The 20,334-nt window shown below is 43.1% G+C and overlaps 1 protein-coding gene across 14 annotated transcripts in view, besides 4 other annotated features; it reads left to right on the forward strand.

The window, feature by feature from the left end:
• C4orf51 (chromosome 4 open reading frame 51) overlaps window positions 1–20,334 on the forward strand; it is a 112,298-nt gene that overhangs the window by 17,212 nt on the left and 74,752 nt on the right. The window contains exon 3 of one of the 14 annotated variants that reach the window (XM_024454188.2): window positions 1,830–1,865. The exons of 12 other annotated variants lie outside the window; for them this stretch is intronic. In XM_024454188.2, the coding sequence (XP_024309956.1) occupies window positions 1,830–1,858 (29 nt within the window). In that variant the 3' untranslated portion in view covers window positions 1,859–1,865. Of the gene's footprint in view, window positions 1–1,471; window positions 1,506–1,829; window positions 1,866–20,334 lie in introns of those variants that run through there. One more of the 14 variants, XM_024454190.2, reaches the window with a different exon arrangement.
• Window positions 1,226–2,153: an enhancer, noted in NCBI's record as "NANOG-H3K27ac hESC enhancer chr4:146619735-146620662 (GRCh37/hg19 assembly coordinates)". NCBI's record gives its function as "activates a minimal SCP1, AML or CMV promoter by ChIP-STARR-seq in naive H9 embryonic stem cells {active_cell/tissue: H9 hESC(naive)}" and the evidence as "EXISTENCE:reporter gene assay evidence [ECO:0000049][PMID:30033119]".
• Window positions 2,154–3,080: an enhancer, noted in NCBI's record as "H3K27ac hESC enhancer chr4:146620663-146621589 (GRCh37/hg19 assembly coordinates)". NCBI's record gives its function as "activates a minimal SCP1, AML or CMV promoter by ChIP-STARR-seq in naive H9 embryonic stem cells {active_cell/tissue: H9 hESC(naive)}" and the evidence as "EXISTENCE:reporter gene assay evidence [ECO:0000049][PMID:30033119]".
• Window positions 5,585–6,274: an enhancer, noted in NCBI's record as "OCT4-NANOG-H3K27ac hESC enhancer chr4:146624094-146624783 (GRCh37/hg19 assembly coordinates)". NCBI's record gives its function as "activates a minimal SCP1, AML or CMV promoter by ChIP-STARR-seq in primed H9 embryonic stem cells {active_cell/tissue: H9 hESC(primed)}" and the evidence as "EXISTENCE:reporter gene assay evidence [ECO:0000049][PMID:30033119]".
• Window positions 6,537–7,122: an enhancer, noted in NCBI's record as "NANOG hESC enhancer chr4:146625046-146625631 (GRCh37/hg19 assembly coordinates)". NCBI's record gives its function as "activates a minimal SCP1, AML or CMV promoter by ChIP-STARR-seq in naive H9 embryonic stem cells {active_cell/tissue: H9 hESC(naive)}" and the evidence as "EXISTENCE:reporter gene assay evidence [ECO:0000049][PMID:30033119]".

Here is a 20,334-nt window from a genome sequence, read left to right on the forward strand (position 1 = left end):
GGAGTTCTGGGATTACAAGCGTAAGCCACCATGCCTGGCTCTCTTAGCAAATTTTAAGTATACATTTTAATTAACCATAGTTACCATACTGTACATAAGGTCTCCATACATATTCATCTTATAACTGAAAGTTTGTACTCTTTGACCAAAAATTCCCCATTTATCTTACCTCACACCTCCAGGTAACCACTGTTCTACTATGCTTCTATAACTTTGACTTTTTAGATTACACATATGAGTGAAATTATGCAGTTTTTGTCTTTCTGTGGCTGAGTAATTTCACTTAGCATAAAGTCCTCCAGGTGCATCCATGTTGTCACATAAACCAAGATGTCCTTCTCTTTAAGGCTGAATAATTTTCCATTGTATTATATACCACATTCTCTTTATCCATTCATTATTGATGGACACGTAAGTTGTTTCTAGATCTTGACTCTTGTGAATAATGCTGTAATGAACATGGGAGTGCAGGTAGCTCTTCGAGGTCGTGATTTTATTTCCTTTGGATATGTATCAGTAGGATTGTTGGATCATATAGTAATTCTATTTTTAATTTTTTTCAGGAACCTCCCAATTAACATTCCCATCAATAGTGGATAAGGGTTTCCTTTTCACACATCTTTGATAACACTTATTTTTTAACTTTTTGATAATAGCCATTCTAACAGGTAGAAGTAATACCTGGTTGTGGTTTTGATTTGCATTTCCCTGAAATTAGTGAGGTTGAGAACCTTGTTATATACTTGTTGGCCATGTGTATGTGTTATTTGGAAAAATGTCTCTTCAAGTCATTTCCCATTTTTAAATCAGTTTTTTTTCTGCTATTTAGTTATATGGGTTTGTACACCAAAAGTATCTGAGACAGGTCTCAATCAATTTAGAAAGTCTATTTTGCCAAGGTGAAGGACACATCTGTGAACAGCCTCTGGAAGTCCTGACAACATATGCCCAAGGTTAGGGTAGAGCTTGGTTTTATACATGTTAGGGAGACATGAGACATCAATCAATACATGTAAGATGTACATTGGTTCAATCCAGAAAGGCAGGACAACTCAAAGCATGTGCTACCAGGTCAGAGGCAGATTTAAAGATTTTCTGATTAGCAATTGGTTGAAAGGGATTTTATCTAAAGACCTGGAGTAGAACAGAAAGGAATGTCTGGGTTTTGATAAAGGGATGTGGAGACCAAGGTTTTATGATACAAATGAAGCCTACAGGTAGGTTTCAGAGAGAATAGACTGTGTTTCTTATCAGATTTAAAGAGTCTGTTCTATCAGTCTTAAGGTCTCTCTGTTGATGTTTGTGAGGCATGTCTGACCCCCACTTCCCATCATGCCCTGAACTAGTTTTTCAGGATAATTTGAAAATGCCCTTGGCCAAGGGGAAGCTCCACCAGTCAGTTGGGGGAGCTTAGAATTTTATTTTTGGTTTACAAGTTCATTATATATTTTGGATATTAACTCCTTGTCAGGCCTCTGAGCCCAAGCCAAGCCATCGCATCCCCTGTGACTTGCACATATACGCCCAGATGGCCTGAAGTAACTGAAGAATCACAAAAGAAGTGAATATGCCCAGCCCCACCTTAACTGATGACATTCCACCACAAAAAGAAGTGTAAATGGCCGGTCCTTGCCTTAACTGATGACATTACCTTGTGAAAGTCCTTTTCCTGGCTCATTCTGGCTCAAATAGCACCCCCATTGAGCACCTTGCAACCCCCACTCCTGCCCGCCAGAGAACAAACCCCCTTTGACTGTAATTTTCCTTTACCCACCCAAATCATATAAAATGGCCCCACCCTTATCTCCCTTCGCTGACTCTCTTTTCAGACTCAGCCCACCTGCACCCAGGTGATTAAAAGCTTTATTGCTCACACAAAGCCTGTTTGGTGGTCTCTTCACACGGATGCGCAAGAAATTTGGTGCCGTGACTTGGATCAGGGACCTCCCTTGGGAGATCAATCCCCTGTCCTCCTGCTCTTTGCTCTGTGAGAAAGATCCACCTACGACCTCAGGTCCTCAGACCGACCAGCCCAAGAAACATCTCACCAATTTCAAATCCGGTAAGCGGCCTCTTTTTACTGTCTTCTCCAACCTCCCTCACTATCCGTCAACCTCTTTCTCCTTTCAATCTTGGCGCCACACTGCAGTCTCTCCCTTCTCTTAATTTCAATTCCTTTCATTTTCTGGTAGAGACAAAGGAGACATGTTTTATCCGTGGACCCAAAACTCTGGCGCCGGTCACGGACTGGGAAGGCAGCCTTCCCTTGGTGTTTAATCATTGCAGGGATGCCTCTCTGATTATCTACCCACGTTTCAAGAGTGTCAGACCACGCAGGGAAGCCTGCCTTGGTCCTTCACCCTTAGTGGCAAGTCCCGCTTTTCTGGGGAAGGGGCAAGTACGCCAACACCTTCTCTCCTTGTCTCTACCCCTTCTCTGCTTTTGTGGGGAAAGGGCAAGTACCCCAACCCCTTCTCTCCTTGTCTCTACCCCTTCTCTGCTTTTCTGGGGGAGGGGCAAGTACCCCTCAACCCCTTCTCCTTCACCCTTAGCGGCAAGTCCCGCTTTTCTGGGGGAGGGGCAAGCACCCCTCAACACCTTCTCCTTCACCCTTGGTGGCAAGTCCCTCTTTTCTATGGGGCAAGAACCCCCAATCCCTTATTTCTGCACCCCGACCTCTTATCTCTGTGCCCCAATCCCTTATTTCCATGCCCCAACCTCTTATCTCTATGCCCCAATCCCTTATTTCCGCACCCCAACCTCTTATCTCTGTGCCCCAATCCCTTATTTCCATGCCCCAACCTCTTATCTCTATGCCCCAATCCCTTATTTCTGCACCCCAACCTCTTATCTCTGTGCCCCAATCCCTTATTTCCACACCCCAACCTCTTATCTCTGTGCCCCAATCCCTTATTTCCGTGCCCTGACCCCCCTCCCTGCTTTTCTGGAGGGTAAGAACCCCCAAATCCCTTCCCTCCGTGTCTCTACACTCTCTTTTCTCTAGGTTTGCCTCCTTCACTATGGGCAACCTTCCACCCTCCATTCCTCCTTCTTCTCCCTTAGCCTGTGTTCTTAAGAACTTAAAACCTCTTCAACTCTCACCTGACCTAAAATCTAAGTGTCTTATTTTCTTCTGCAATGCCGTTTGACCCCAGTACAAACTCAACAGTAGTTCCAAATAGCCGGAAAATGGCACTTTCAATTTTTCCATCCTACAAGATCTGAATAATTCTTGTCGTAAAATAGGCAAATGGTCTGAGGTGCCTGACGTCCAGGCATTATTTTACACATCAGTCCCTTCCTAGTCTCTGTGCCCAGTGCAACTCATCCCAAATCTTCCTTCCTTCCCGCCTGTCCCCTCAGTCCCAACCCCAAGCGTCGCTGAGTCTTTCTAATCTTCCTTTTCTACAGACCCATCTGACCTCTCCCCTCCTCGCCAGGCCAAGCTAGGTCCCAATTCTTCCTCAGCCTCCACTCCTCCACCCTGTAATCTTTTTATCGCCTCCCCTCCTCACACCTGGTCCAGCTTACGGTTTAATTCCATGACTAGCCCTCCCCCACCTGCCCAGCAATTTACTCTTAAAAAGGTGGCTGGAGCCAAAGGCATAGTCGAGGTTAATGCTCCTTTTTCTTTACCCCAAATCAGAAGGGTTTAGGCTCTTTTTCATCAGATATAAAAACCCAGCCCAGTTCATGGCTCGTTCAGCAGCAACCCTGAGACGCTTTACAGCCCTAGACCCTAAAAGGTCAAAAGGCCATCTTATTCTCAATATACATTTTATTACCCAATCTGCTCCCAACATTAAACTCCAAAAATTAGAATCTGGCCCTCAAACCCCGCAACAGGACTTAACCTCACCTTCAAGGTGTACAATAATAAAAAAAAAAGTGGCAATTCCTTGCCTCCACTGTGAGACAAACCCCAGCCACATCTCCAGCACACAAGAACTTCCAAACGCCTAAACCGAAGTGCCCAGGCGTTCCTCCAGAACCTCCTCCCCCAGGAGCTTGCTACAAGTGCCAGAAATCTGACCACCAGGCCAAGGAATGCCTGCAGCCCAGGATTCCTCCTAAGCCGTGTCCCATCTGTGCGGGGACCCCACTGGAAATTGGACTGTTCAACTCACCTGGCAGCCACTCCCAGAGCCCCTGGAACTCTGGCCCAAGGCTCTCTGACTGACTCCTTGGCTTAGCGGCTGAAGACTGATGCTGCCCGATCGCCTCAGAAGCCCCCTAGACCATCACGGATGCCGAGCTTCGGGTAACTCTCACAGTGGAAGGTAAGTCCGTCCCCTTCTTAATCAATACGGAGGCTACCCACTCCACATTACCTTCTTTTCAAGGGCCTGTTTCCCTTGCCTCCATAACTGTTGTAGTTATTGACAGCCAGGCTTCTAAACCTCTAAAAACTCCCCAACTCTGGTGCCAACTTGGACAACACTCTTTTATGCACTCTTTTTTAGTTATCCCCACCTGCCCAGTTCCATTATTAGGCCGAGATATTTTAACCAAATTATCTGCTTCCCTGACTATTCCTGGACTACAGCCGCATCTCATTGCTACCCTTCTCCCCAACCCAAAGCCTCCTTCGCGTCTTCCTCTCATATCCCCCCACCTTAACCCACAAGTATAGGACATCTCTACTCCTTCCCTGGCAACCAATCACATGCCCATTACCATCCCATTAAAACCTAATCACCCATACCCCACTCAACGCCAATATCCCATCCCACAGCACGCTTTAAAAGGATTAAAGCCTGTTATCACTCGCCTGCTACAGCATAGGCTTCTAAAACCTATAAACTCTCCTTACCATTCCCCCATTTTACCTGTCCTAAAACCAGACAAGGCTTACAAGTTAGTTCAGAATCTGCGCCTTATCAACCAAATTGTTTTGCCTATCCACCCCGTGGTGCCAAACCCACATACTCTCCTATCCTCAATACCTCCCTCTACTACCCATTATTCTGTTCTGGATCTCAAACATGCTTTCTTTACTATTCCTTTGCACCCTTCATCCCAGCCTCTCTTTGCCTTCACTTAGACTGACCCTGACACCCATTAGGCTCAGCAAATTACCTGGGCTGTACTGCCGCAAGGCTTCACAGACAGCCCCCATTACTTCAGTCAAGCCCAAATTTCATCCTCATCTGTTAGTCATACTCCTATTCACCGTTCTCAACTACTCATACATGCCCTGCTCTTGTTTACACTGCCGGTTTACACTGTTTCTCCAAGCCATCACAGCTGATATCGCCTGGTGCTATCCCCAAACTGCCACTCTAAACTCTTGAAGTAAATAAATAATCTTTGCTGGCAGAACTATGCTGAATCTCCTTAGGCACTCTCTAATCAGATGTCCTAGGTCCTCCCAATTCTTAGACCTTTTATACCTGTTTTTCTCCTCTTATTCCATATAGTTTCTCAATTCATCCAAAGCCGTATCCAGGCCATCACCAATCATTCTATATGACAAATGTTTCTTCTAACATCCCCACAATATCACCCCTTACCACAAGACCTCCCTTCAGCTTAATCTCTCCCACTCTAGGTTCCCACGCCGCCCCTAATCCCGCTTGAAGCAGCCCTGAGAAACATCGCCCATTCTCTCTCCATACCACCCCCCCAAAATTTTCGCCACCCCAACACTTCAACACTATTTTGTTTTATTTTTCTTATTAATATAAGAAGGCAGGAATGTCAGGCCTCTGAGCCCAAGCCAAGCCATCACATCCCCTGTGACTTGCACATATATGCCCAGATGGCCTGAAGTAACTGAAGAATCACAAAAGAAGTGAATATGCCCTGCCCCACCTTAACTGATGACATTCCACCACAAAACAAGTGTAAATGGCCGGTCCTTGCCTTAACTGATGACATTACCTTGTGAAAGTCCTTTTCCTGGCTCATCCTGGCTCAAAAGCACCCCCACTGAGCACCTTGCGACCCCCACTCCTGCCCGCCAGAGAACAAACCCCCTTTGACTGTAATTTTCCTTTACCTACCCAAATCCTATAAAACGGCCCCACCCTTAACTCCCTTCACTGACTCTCTTTTCGGACTCAGCCCACCTGTACCCAGGTGATTAAAAGCTTTATTGCTCACACAAAACCTGTTTGGTGGTCTCTTCACACGGACGCGCATGAAACTCCTTATCTGAGATATGGTTTGCAAATATTTCCCCTTATTCTGTCAGTTTTCTTTTCACTTCGTTGATAGTTTCCTTTCCTGTGTAGAAAGTTTTTGTTTGATGTAGTTCCATTTGTTTATTTTTGCTTTAGTAAACTTTGCTATTGATGTTATATCTAAAATTCACTACCAAGACCAATGTCAGAAAGCTTTCTCCCTATGTTGTCTAGGAGTTTCTTGTTTTCAGGTCTTATGTTTAACTCTTTAATCTATTTTGAGTTGATTTTTGTGTATAGTGTAAGATAGGAGTACAATTTCTTTCTTTTATATGTCGATATCCAGTTTTCTCAGCCTAATTATAGACGAGACTGCTGTGGGAGCCATAGGCTCTTGGCTCTCTAAAGCTTTGGTAAAAATCACTGATGTGAGGCAGAGTGATTAATAAAAGAAAAGGCATAAAAATTTATTTAACATGCATCCACGGGAGCCTTCAGAATAAAAGCCCAACTTCCCAATGAGTTACGGAAACGTGTATATTATCCTGAGGCCACAGTAAAGAATGCAGACTCAGAGCATGTCCAGAAACAGGTAAATCAGGCTTAGTGGCAAGGCAGGTTTAGAGAGAGAGAAATGAGGAGTCTTGGCTGGCAAAGGTGGCTTTTTTATGTAGATGAAGCCTCCCTCAGAGAGAATAGATGGTAAATGTTTCTTTTCAGATTTTTAAAGGTGTCAGTTCATCTGTCAGTATTGGAGGAAAAAGTTTTAAATAAATAAACAATAAAGGTGTCAGACTCTCAACCTCTCCTGGATCTGGGAGAAGGCATAGAAATGGGAGGGGATATGGCTTCATTAATGAAGATTCTCTACAGATGCAAATTTCCCCCACTTAGAATAGCTTCACAAGGCCACTTCTGTCTGCTGGCCAAGTAGCAGCCATTTAAAAATATGTCAAAGAAATATATTTTTGGATAAAATATTTTAATTTCCTTCACTATTCTTTCCCTATTGTGTATTCTTGGTGCTTTTGTTGAAGATTAGCTAACTGTATATGCGTGGGTTTATTTCTGGGTTCTCTATTCTTTTTCATTGGTCTGTGTGTCTGTTTTTATGCCAGTGCCATGCTCCTTTGATTGCTACAGTTTTCTAATATAATTTGAAATTAGGACAAATGTTTTTTCTTGCTGCTTTCAAAATTCTCTGTCTTTGATTTTTGAAAGTTTTGTTACTGGTGGCAAATCCATACAGGTCTGCAGCAATCGCAACTCTTGCCTCCTCAGAAGAAAGAATTTGACTGAAGGGCATAAGCAGAAGGAGAGACCAAGGCAAGTTTCAGAGCAGGAGTGAAAGTGTATTGAAAAGCTTTAGAGCAGGAATGAGAGAAGGTAAAGCACACTTGGAAGAGGGTGAAGCAGGTGACTTGAGAGATTACCTTGGAAGAGGCTAAAGCAGGCAACTTGAGAGATCAAGTGCGCAGTTTGACCTTTGGCTTAGGGTTCATACGTTAGCATGCTTCCAAGGCCTTGCATCCCTTCTCCCCTGTTTCTTCCCTTGGGTGGGCTGTCTGCACTTGCAGTGGCCTGCTAACACTTGAGAGGAGAGCATGCACAGTGTGTTTACTGGAGTTGTATACATGCTCATTTGAGGCATTCTTCCCTTACCAGTCAAATGTCTCTGGAAGGCCATATACTAGTTAAATTCCACAATTTTGCCTCTTAATGTGCAAGCTTGAGCCCATTCATCAAACTCCTGAGATCTTATCAGGACGCTGCTGATCACCAGTTTCAGGTGTTTCTATTTATTGGGAGACTGCCTTTCCCTGGCATTGGCTGTGACCAATTATTATTTTAAAGAGACAGTTAGCAATCACCTGACCATAACCTGATGGTTGCCTGACATTCCTGGTCTGTATGTGTGGTGAGATTGGAAGCTAGGCCGTCTCCTGCCCTGCTTATGCCTGACTAGCTACCTACTGTAACATTTTCCCCCTCAAGAGTCCAGTACCCCAATTCTTTGGGGAAAATGGATGAAGGTCAGTCTTCTGTAACTGATTCCTGCTGACAGGGAGGGGTGGTAGTGATTGTTCTGCAGGTCTTGGCCTCTTACTAGCTGTCATGGCAGAGCTGATTCCATGAGTTGGTGAAAGCCGTATCCAACCATGTCCAAGAGAGACAGGGACAGGATTTTGCCTCTGTCGTGTCCCAGTGATGAGCAGTCTAGGGGTCCTTTGTAGATGGGTGGCTCTTGAATATTGAGAGGACAGTATCCCTCACTGATGATCATCTGGAGCTTGATGGCCTGAAGGTGAGAGGAAACAGATAGGATTATTAGAATTAGAAGAATGCCAAGCCAAAATAAGGGGGTGATGATAGCTCCAAAAAATTCTGAGACTGCCATTATGCTCAGGTAGCTGGTGGCTATAGTTATGCCTGCTAAGACTTGGGTGCATGGGGTTGCTAGCTGATTCCAATATGTGCCCAGAATTAGAATATTGATCCAGATTTTTACATTACCCATCCGTCTTATTTCTTCTGAGCTGCAGCCAGAGATCACTGGTTGGTTCACAGGAATAAGCAGGGTTAGTCTAAATTGCAGACAAAAACTCAAAAACTCATGAGACTAGAATCTAATAATAGGTGTACCATAGTTTTTGAAACAGATTTTTTTTCTCTCCGGTCCTCAGTTTTATTAAAGACAAATCATGATAGAACTGACTTGTTCACAATATAAGCTTTAGTCTTATTATACTTGGCGTGGTTATTTGCATAAAGCACTGTGAGAATAATTATGTACCATATAGACTCCTTTTAAAATTGGCTTTAATGAAACTGTGTTCCATAAGGAATTTCAGGTAAGACTTTTTTAAAGCCTTAGGTTGGCACCATCAAATACCTGTATGACATGGTAAATTTCTCTCCTCTTGTGGTCTCAAGATAACTTGGGGCTTCTAGACCTGTTATAAAGTGATATTCTTTACTCACCACAGGCCAGGAACCCCATACAGGGACTGTGTAGCCAAGGTATGAGGGCAGTTTTCCGAAGGAGCTTTTATTGGCTTCATAATTCCATTTTGATTCCTTAAAGAAAAGCATGCCATTCCAGTCAAAGCCTTGGTAAAATAACCAGTTTCTCCAATTGTGTCCTGTTACAAAAGAAAACAGATTCTTTTTTTTTTGGGACAGAGTCTCGCTCTGTCGCCCAGCCTGGAGTGCAGTGGCGCAATCTTGGCTCACTGCAAGTTCCGCCTCCTCAGTTCATGCCATTCTTCTGCCTCAGCCTCCCCAGTAGCTGGGACTACAAGGTTCCCACCACCATGCCCGGCTAATTTTTTTTTTTTTTTTTTTTGAGACAGAGTTTCCCTCTTGTCGCCCAGGCTAGAGTGCAGTGGTGGGATCTTGGCTCACTGCAACCTCCACCTCCCGGGTTCAAGCGATTCTCCTGCCTCAGCCTCTTGAGTAGCTGGGATTACAGGTGCCCACGACCACGCCCGGCTAATTTATTTTTGGATTTTTAATAGAGACGGGGTTTCACCATATTGGGCAGGCTGCTCTTGAACTCCTGACCTCAGGTGATCCGGCCCACCTCGGCCTCCCAAAGTGCTGGGCCACCAGGCATGAGCCAATTTTTTTTATTTTTTAGTAGAGACGGAGTTTCACTGTGTTAGCCAGGATGGTCTCGATCCCCTGACCTCGTGATCCACCCGCCTCGGCCTCCCAAAGTGTTGGGATTACAGGCGTGAGCCACCGCGCCAGGCCCATATAAGATACTTTTTTATATAAAATCTCTTCTTTATAACCTTCCGTGCCTTTAGAACCTTTGAATTCAACAAAAATCATTTTCCTTCCATTAGAAAGTTAAGATTTGTACTGCATGTTGCTTTGCAAGTTCTGTAAAGGGTGAACAAATGAGAAGGTTATTTACATACTGTACTGGAGAAGTTATCCCACCCCAAGAGATTGCTCAGTTAGATTTTTGCTAGTGCTTGTCCAAATAAGTGTGGGCTATTTCTATACCACTGGGTAGGACGGTCCAAGATGAAGTTATTGGTTAAAGATTTAGGTAGCTTTCCTAGGAGAAATAGAGCTATTAGAAAGATGAATTCAGAGGTCAGGTAAATATTAAGCACACACCCATCATGGAAAATATATTTTTGCCCTAAAGAGGTGTTGGGTATTTAGACATCACCAGGGACTGGTCCCTTAAGTAATATAAAGGGATGTGAATTTTTTCTTTTGGAGGGAGGGGGTGCCATTTCCCCCATTACCTGACAGGATTTGGAGGAAGGTTGCTCAGAGAAGGAGATTAGCACAGAGTAGGCAGCTCCTGAACCCAAAAGGGAAATTTATAAGTTTACTTGCCACCTCCAGAGTTGCCCTCAAGTTTGTCCTGTTGATGACAGTGTCTGATTTGGAAGCCAGTCAGAGCAGACAGCCCCTTCAGCTCAAGGCCATCAGGAGTTGGGATTCTGTCCCAGGGGTGGTTTGGCCCTTGAAGCAGTCTCATTTCCAGTGGCCGACTTTCTGGCAGAAGGGGCAAGCCATGGACATAGCTTTTATCCCATTGGGGCAGTGCCTTCCAGTGCCCTGGCTTCCTGCACCAATGGTAGTTACCTGGAGAAGTGTCCTTAGGGCAACCTGGAGGGGGCTAGTGGGCTCGCAGAGCAGCCAATAGTTGAGCTCACCTCCTTTCCCTTTGTTTCTCCTTTTCCTTAGCCCTGTCCTCCTTATTCTGCTCTTAGTTATGAAAGACTGAAGAGGTTAATCTGAGGACCTCCTGCACAGTGGCACTAGGTTCCAAGGCTGACTTTTGTAATTTCCTCCCCTTTCATTTTTAAGCCAAATAGTATTACAAAGGAAAAGTAGTTTCTTGTTTTAAGGTTTGGGGAGATCTTTCCGTTTGGGGAGATACATCCAAGGGGCATGTCCTGTGGTATCGAGACAAGATTACCTGTCTGTGAAGAGAGGACAGAGGAGAAAAAAGTAAAAACGAGGTGTCCCCTCTTACTTTCCTGTTATCCTATATGGGGCATCCCCTATTCATCCTTAGGGTTCCAGAATGAACTGGTCTTCCCATGTACCCTTCACCTTGGTCCCATCTCATCACAATTATGCACTTGGGAACAGAGGAGATACTGGAGTGAACAGTGGGCTCCTTGTTTATCCTTGGGGTTCCAGAATGAACCAGTCTTACCATATACCCCTAACCTTGCCTTCATCACTTTTCTAATGGTAATCTGTTAGTCTGGGACCAAGCTTTGTCTCTGTGCTATGGGTCTATTGTGCCTACGGCCTTGGGCTGGCCTGTATATATCCTTGTCTCCATGAACTCATAGTGACTCTCACTTGGAGCATTTTAGCAACAAAATCATTATCTTTTCTCAGATTCCCATTTTCCATGTTTTTTAAGTAAAAAGAGGCCTGCTTGTCAGCTAACTGCCTCAAGGGGGCTGGACTTCCCTTCCTTTGAATATGACCTTGAAGTTCTTGATGCATGTTGAGAAGGGCATGGAAGTGATTAGAGTAATGGAGGCTACAGGAAGAAGTGGGAGGATGTGAGAAGAATACTCATGGGAAGCCTTCATATGCTCACAAAAACAGCAACCCTTGGATTCTAGAGGGAAAGGTTTATTTGCCCTCTTGACATAAAGTAGTAACCTCCAGAGAACTTGGGGCTTGGAGTAAGAACTCACAAATGGCAAAGGAAGAACTTTGCCTCCTTCCCGAGGGGTTCTAACTCAAAAAAAAGCAAGTATGTGAGGCTTTTAAAGGGCCACAGAGTGAGGCCCTATGCAGGTGAAAAACCTGCTTCCAAAGCCACTGAAAAACTTACCCCTAGAGCATAACAGGAACAAAAAGCATATGACAAGTCATAAGTTGCTGGCAGAGCCAGGGTTCCAATTAATGTCTGTCCCCACAATGTGCCAAGAGACAGGGAAAGGGTTGGAAGTCATCCAAGTTGGTAGGGTAAAAACAAGTATAAATCTCAGGGGATACCTGCAAGGAAGCCCATGTCTTTGTTGCCATGCCAATGCAGCAAGAGCTGCAGGAACATGAATTACAGGGAGTATGTGTTTAAGAAGTCACGTGGCATGCAAAAGTGAAAACAAAGAGGTGGACTTGCCCCTGAGGCAGACAGTCTGGCAGGTGTGCAAGGCCATTTCAGAAAACACACAGAGAAAACAGGAGAATAGGCAGCATCAGTTTTTTGGGGAAACAGGTAATTTTAGTTGAAAAAGCAGAAGAAACCCCAAGCATTGCATGGGTTTAGGCTTTAGTCCCACCATTCTCATGAGCTCCCTATTTAGGAGGGCCATTAGTGTCTCAGTTCTACTTGATGTGGGCCCGAAGGTCTTTCCCACCCCTACAAGCTACCTGCCAGGGTGAGCTGAGAGATCAGCCAAGAGGAGCAGAGCCACTTGCAGCTGAGAGGAATCATTCTGGGGGTTGGTTAGTAAGCAGGAGAGTAAAAGGGGCGAATAAACCATGCACAGAGGTTGAATGTCTCCAGCTGAAGAAGGCAAGATGTAGAAGTCTCTTACCACAAGGGATCATATCTGAGTCATGCAACACCAAAATATGTTAGCAGTGGAACGTACCTGAGTCACAGCACCAAAGTATGTTAACAGCAGAATGTATTTGAGTCATGGCACCAAAGTATGTTACCAGCAGCGAATCCATACAGATCTGCAGCAGTCTCAACTCTTGCCTTCTCAAAAGAAAGAATTCAACTCAGGGGTTTAAGGCAGAAGGAGAAACAGAGGCAAGTTTTAGAGGAGTAGTGAAAGTTTGTTAAAAAGCTTTAGAGCAGGAATGAAAAGAGGTAAAGTACACTTGGAAGAGGGCCAACAGGTGACTTGAAAGATCTGATGTGCAGCTTGACATTTTGACTTGGGGTTTTATATGTTGGCCTGCTTCTGGGGTATTGTGTTCCTTCTCTCCTGATTCTTCCCTTAGGGTGGGCTGTCTGCATGTGCAGTGGCCTGCTAATGCTTGGGAGGGGAGCATGCACAGTGTGTGTACTGGATTGTACACATGCTCACTTGAGGCATCCTTCCCTTACCAGTCAAATGTCCCTAGAAGGTCATATACCAGTTAAACTCTGCCATTTTGCCTCTTAATGTGCACACTTGAGCCCACTTACCCATCTCCTGAAATCTTATCAGGAAGCTGCTGATTACCAGTTTCAGGTGTTTTGGTTTATTGAGAGACTGTCTTTCCCCGGCATTGGTTGCAGCCAATTATTATTTTAGAGAGACAGTTAAGCCTGTCTCTCTGATGGTTGCCTGACATTCCTGGTGTGTATGTGTGGTGGGGGGTGTGGGGTGGGGGTAGGGAGCCCTCTCCTGTTCTGCTCATGTCTGACTAGCTACCTACTGTGACAGTTTGATTTAATGTGTCATGGTTGAAGAAAGCAAAGATCACTTGGTGACCATCCAGAGGCAAAACTTATCTGAGGAATTTAGAAGTAATTAGATTTTCCTATTATCTAAAGCTGGCATCTGGTACCAGTCTTCTTTCCCCCGAATTTATAAGTAACTAGAATTTTTATACATCTCCAGAATGCATGCATATCAAAACTCATTGTGCAACCCTTGCTGACATCAAGGCACCAAAATGTCTACAAATGTAATCATTTATTATAACCTACATGGCTAATATGGTCCAAATTGCCCTTAAAGCTTCTGCTTTAAGGTCCATAAATACCCCTAAGGAAAAATTCACCACAATGCACTCAGTCCTCTTTTGTTGAGGTGCCCCACTGCACTCTTCTCCAGTGTTCTAATAAAACTACTTTTCAAACCTATACTGTTGTTGGTAAATTATTCTTACTACCCTGCTACCTGCAAGCTGACCACTTTCCATTGCTGGGGCTCTAACAGCTCGCCTAACAATGGAAAAGTCACCTTTGGGTTGAATCTGTTTGGGAATTTTTTATCTTCATGTACCTGGCTGTCCGTATCTCTCTCCAGGTTTGGGGAGTTTTTGTTCTTTAAATAAGTTTTCCACTTCTTTCTCCCTTCTGGTACTTTCTTTCTCTTTTCCTTCTGGTACTATCATAGTCTGTATATTAGTTATCTTGATAGTGTTCCCCAAATCCCATAGCCTTTCCTCATTTCTTTTCATTCATTTTTTTCTTCTTTCTCCTCTGATTGGGTAGTTTCAAATGATCTGCTTTGAGTACACAGATTCTTTCTTTTGCTTGATCAAGTTAGCTGTTGATGCTCTCCGTTGCATTTTTTATTTCATTTATTGCATTATTCAGCTCCAGAATTTTTTTTAATAAATTTTATTGTGCTTGCTTAAGGTACAGAAACACCTTGTTTTATTGCATTTTGCTCTATTGTGCTTCACAGATAATTGCCTTTTTCTCACAAATTGAAAGTGTGTGGCAACCTTGCATCAAGCAAATCTATTGCTGCCATTTTTCCAACAGTATGTATTCACTTCTTGTCTCTGTGTCACATTTTGATAATTCTCACAATATTTTAAAATTTTCATTATTATTGTGTCTGTTATGGTAATCTGCAATTAGTGATGTTTGATGTTATTATTGTAATTGTTTTGAGACACCACAAACCACACTCATATAGAACAGCAAACTTAATTGATAAACTTTGACTGTTTTGCCAACCAGCCATTTCCCCATTTCTCTCCTCCCCTTGGGCCCCCCACTTCCCTAAGACACAACAATATTGAAATTAGGCCAATTAATAACCCTACAATGGCCTCTAATGGTTTGAGTGAAAGGAAGAATCACATATTTCTTACTTTAAATTAAAAGCTAGAACAGTTTAGCTTAGTAAGGAGGGCATATTGAAAGCCAAGACAGATGAAAAGCTCAGCTTCTTGCACCAAACATTTAGCCAAGTTGTGAATACAAAGAAAAAGTTCTTGAAGGAAATTAAAGGTGCTACTCCAGTGAACGCACAAATGATAAGAAAGCAAAACAGCCTTATTGCTAATATGGAGAAAGTTTTAGTTGTCTGAATAAAAGATCAAAGCAGCCACAACATTTTCTTAAGCCAAAGCCTAATCCAGAGAAAGGCCCTAACTCTCTTCAATTCTAGGAAGAATGAGAGAGTCAAAGAAGGTGCAGAAGAAAAATTTGAAGCTAGCAGTTGTTGTTGGTTCATGTAAAGAAAGAAGCAATCTCCATTACATAAAAGTGCAAGGTGAAGCAGCAAGTGCTGAGGTAGAAGCTGCAACAAGCTATCCAGAAGACATAGCTAAGGTAATTAATGAAGGTGGCTGTACTAAACAATATATTTTCCATGTAGACAAAACAGTCTTCTGTTGGAAGAAGATGCCATCTAGAACTTTCATAGCTAGAGAGAAGAAATCAAAGCTTGGCTTCAAAACTTCAAAGGATAGGCTGACTCTCTTGTTAGGGGATAATGCAGCTGGTGACTTTAAGTTGAAGCCAAAGCTATTTACTATTTTGAAAGTCCTAGGGCCCATAAGAATTATGCTAAATCCAGTCTACCTGTGCTGTATCAATGGGACAACAAAGCCCGAATGACAGCACATCTGTTTATGGCATGACTTCCTGAATATTTAAGCCCACTATTGAGACTTACCACTTGGAAAAAAAGATTCCTTTCAAAATATTACTGCCGACTGACAATGCACCTGGTCACTCAAGAACTCTGACGGAGATGTACAAGGAGTTTAATGTTGGTTCCATGCCTGCTAACACAACATCCATTCTGTAGCCTATGGATTAGGGAGTAATTTCGACTTTCAAGTTTTATTATTGAAGAAATATGTTTCATAAGGCTATGGACACCATAGATAATGATTCCTTTAATGAATCTGAGCAAAGTAAGTTGAAATCTTATGGAAAGGATTTTCCAGTCTAGATGCCATTAAGAATATTTGTCATTAATAGAAGGAGGTCAAAATATGAAAATTAACGGGAGTTTGGAAGAAGTTGATTCCATCCCCTGTGGATGAGTCTGAGGGGTTTAAGACTTCTGTGGAGTAAGTATGTGTAAGATGGGATAGAAGTAGCAAGAGAACTAGAATTAGAGGTGGAGCCTAAGGATGTAACTGAATTGCTGCAATCTCATAATACAACTTTAATAGGTGAGGAGTTCTTCTTATGGATGAGCGAAGAAACTGATTCCTTGAAATGGAATCTACTCCTGGTGAAGATGCCATGAACATTGTTTTAATGACAACAAAGCATTTATAATATTACATAAACTGAACTGATAGAGCAGCAAGAGGGTTTGAGATGATTGATTCCAACTTTGAAAGTATTTTTAAATTAAGGTATGTCCATTTTATTTTTTTTTATTTTATTGTTTTTATTTTTGAGATGGAGTCTCACTCTGTTGCCCAGGCTGGAGTGCAGTGATGCAATCTCGGCTCACTGCAAACTCCGCCTCCTGGGTTCAAATGATTCTCCTGGCTCAGCCTTCCGAGTAGCTGGGATTATAGGCACCTGCCACCATGCCTGGCCAATTTTTGTATTTTTAGTAGAGACGGAGTTTCACTATGTTGGCTAGGCTGGTCTTGAACTCCTGACCTCACATAATCTGCCCACCTTGGCCTCCCAAAGTGCTGGGATTACAGGCGTGATCTACTGCACCTGGCTCATTTTATTTTTAGACATAATGCTATTGCACACCTAATAGACTACAGCATAGGGTAAACATAACTTCTATGTGCACTAGGAAACAAAAAGTTCATGTGACCCACTTTACTGTGATGTTTTCTTTATTGAAATGGACTGGAACTGAACCCACACTGTCTCTAAAGTACGCTTGTAAACAATACGATGCTATAGAGTACATATATAGTAAAGAGGTTACCATAATGAAGCAAATTAAATATCCATCATCTCACATAATTACCTTTTTTTATGGCAAGAGCAGCTAAAATCTACTCATTGATTAATAGCATGAATCAAGGATCTAGTACAGTTTTATTACCTACAATCCTCACGTGTTCATTAGATCTCTAGACTTGTTCTTCCTACATATCTGCCACTATCTATCTTCTGACCTACATATTCCGTTTGTTTTTTGTTTCTGTTTGTTGAACTTCTCATTTGGTTCATGTGCTGTTTTTCTGATTTCATTAAGTTGTCTGTGTTCTCTTCGTGGCTCACTGTGCTTTTTCATAACAATTATTTTAAATTTGTCAGGAAATTTGTAGAGCTCCATTTTGGGGGATTGGTAACTGGAAAAATACAGTGTTTCTTAGGTGGTGACATGTTTCCTTGATTTTTCTTATTGCTCAAAGTCTTGAGTTACTGGCTTTGCCTTTGGAGATATAGTCATATCCTCCAGTCTTCACTGACTGGCTTCAGGGGAAAAACACATTCACCAGTCAGCTCAGCTGGGTATTTGATGGCTCTCTCAGGCCTTTTCTATGGATGCGCCCATTCCACCCCTCTTGCTCCCTCTTTGGAGGGAATTCTTAAGATTGATGGCTTCTGTCAATCCTGCAGAGCCAGACCAGATGCCGAGAGGCTCTTGTTTGTCTTCCCTAGAGCAGCGCCCTAAAATGCTCACATTTGTGTGCTGTCTCCCAGTCTCATGGAGTTGGGTGGGCTGTCTGCACATGCCATCTGCAGAGGCTTGTACTTGCTGTCTCCAGGGACACATATGGAGAACAGGCTACAGGGGAAGGGGTAGTGATGCATGTGGGGCATTGGGTGTACCCATGGGCCAGTTGGGGTGGTCTGCATGTGAGGCATCCCAAGCAGCTCATGGGTGGGTTTCTGATGGACTCCCTGAAGCAGTAATTGGGATCCATGGCTCTCTGTTGAGTTCCGAGCCCTGGTGGCTGTGAGTCTTTGCCTCTCTTCCCTGTTTGCAGCCTCCCTCACCACTCAGCTCTGATAATCACCTCAGTATTTTCTGTGGGGTGAGAAACAAGTGGGCCTCTTGGGCAGTGTCTCGCACAGCTAGAGGAGCCAGGCACTCACTCACTATTCTCTCACTTCTTCCCGTGGGAAGAATCGTGGGCTGAGGAGCTCTCTCTTGGCACTGAGTTGTGCTACCTTGCAGGAGAGGTGTCACGGGTAAAGGGAAACTGTTCTTCTTACCCTCTTCAATGCATCTATTCTTGGAGTTTTTACCCCACTAATGTGCTGGAATTTTTCCACTGGCCACCCAGGCTCCCACTATAGTACTGTCATCCATGGGTGGTTGTCAAAATCAATCCGTCCATGGGGAAATGATGGTAGAAAACTCCTATTCTGCCATTTTACTGACATCACTCTCCTCTGCTTTTAGATTCTTGATGGTAGCCCCAATGGCTTCCATTTGCCTACTAAAGGGATGGTGGTCTTTAGCAGGAAAATGACCATGTTCCATGCTGGAACAGTTGCTCTTAAAAATGACAGCTCTTCCAAAGCAAACATTTTTGTCTTTCATATTAGTCCCAGAATGTAACTTCCCAGAATGTAACTTCCACCAGAGCTTGGAGCTCTGGGTGATATAATCTGAGCTTTACTGAGTACACCAAGGAACTAAGAAGATAAACCAAAACTGTGAACTATCAACTAGTAAACTATATTTACTAATCTATAGCCACCTCCACCCTGTTACAGTTAAATTAGGTTAACACTAATTGTTATAGATAACCCCCCCAAATTATCTATTATCTATTATCAAAATTGTCTATTAATTAGGGGGTTGATAGATAAACTTCCAAATTCCAGTTGCTTAACTCAATAAAATTTTTTTTTCTTTATCCAAAGGCAAAGTTGGCTGTTCTGCAGGTAGACCTTTCTCATGGTGACCTGGGACACAGACTTCCTTCCTCTTGGGCTTCCACCAATACCCGAAAGCCCTAGAGCCCTTTGTCTCCATCTGGCAGGTGGGGGTGAAGGGGAGGGGAGACACACGTGCTCTTTCTCCACTTCAGCCTGGAAGTGACTTGCATCACTTATGCTCACATTCCAATGTGATGCCAGAGAGCTCAGAAATGGATTCCTTGGCTGGGCAGCCACTTCCTAGCAACAACTGCACACTATGGAAGGGAACAGCTGGCCATTCTGCCACACACTGATTTTGAGAAGAGAACACAATAGATTATTTTCCATATAATTTCCGTCTCTCAGGGTTGAATCTTTGAAGGTTTAACAAGACTAATGATTGTAATATCAAATTAGGATTTGTAGCAATTTATAAAATATTCAGGTAATGCCCATTTGTGGTGGGATGTGTCTATGTGTGTGGTGGGGGCTGCACATAGTGGAAAAAGTTATCCTGCAGCCTTATTGGGTTTTCCTAAATAATGGAGATAAAGGTTTTTGATGGTTGCCTTGGATGATCACTATTCTGTTAGCTTTCCTAGTAAAATTTGACTTTATAAGCATAGTACATCTGAGGAGGGTTTTATGTGTTCCTCTGTGGTTTGTTGAAGCAAGAGGAGAGGACAGCTAACCGTGTGTGCTATTGTTAAAATCAGGAGACTTTCTTTCTTCCCTTTGCAGTAAAGAACATAAAATTGAAACACACTACATAGCTTGAAGACAAGTCTGAGCCTGTGTTTGGGAAATTAAACAGCCTGAACATGTCATTCATAGTAAGTTAAGGTGACAGCACATCTGATCTGAGTAGCACAAAGTACAATTCTATTACATTCATATTGTTTTTTGTGCCCTTCAGAATTCTGATTAACTTTGCTAATCACCTGTGGCCTGCTAGACCTGCTGAGCAGTCCTGAAGTTGGGTGGGTGGGGGCATTTGAGGGGTGGAAACATGAGTAGCGAAAGCAATAATCTGCTACTCTACAGCAGGTATTACTTTGCATTCCTATCTCCTCTCCAGTTATTATAGTAAAGCACTGGGAGGACGAAAGGTAGAAATGGAATCAGTGAATATACTCATAATGACTGCTTATCAATTTACCCATATTGCCTTTTTCATTCTTTGCAAGTGGTCATTTTCATATAACTGATGTTGCCTCTCTTCATTAAGAGGTAACAATACATCAAAGCAGAACTATTTAATTTACCCAAATGATAATTTCTCCTTGTGCTTCTTTTCCATTTCCATGTCAAATTTTGGACTATCAACATTAATTTTGCTTGAAGCCAAGGATCAAATTGTCAGTAGAGGCCAATTATATAAATTTGCTTGTAACTAGTGGACTTTGGTCAACTTGTTGTTCCTTTGTAACATCCATTCATAAATAGAAAAATTGCATGGGCTGTTCTTAAGTGTGATTCATGATCATCATAGGAGAA

The sequence above is a fragment of the Homo sapiens genome, chromosome 4, assembly GCF_000001405.40.
Source record: "Homo sapiens chromosome 4, GRCh38.p14 Primary Assembly".
NCBI classification, from domain to species: domain Eukaryota; kingdom Metazoa; phylum Chordata; class Mammalia; order Primates; family Hominidae; genus Homo; species Homo sapiens.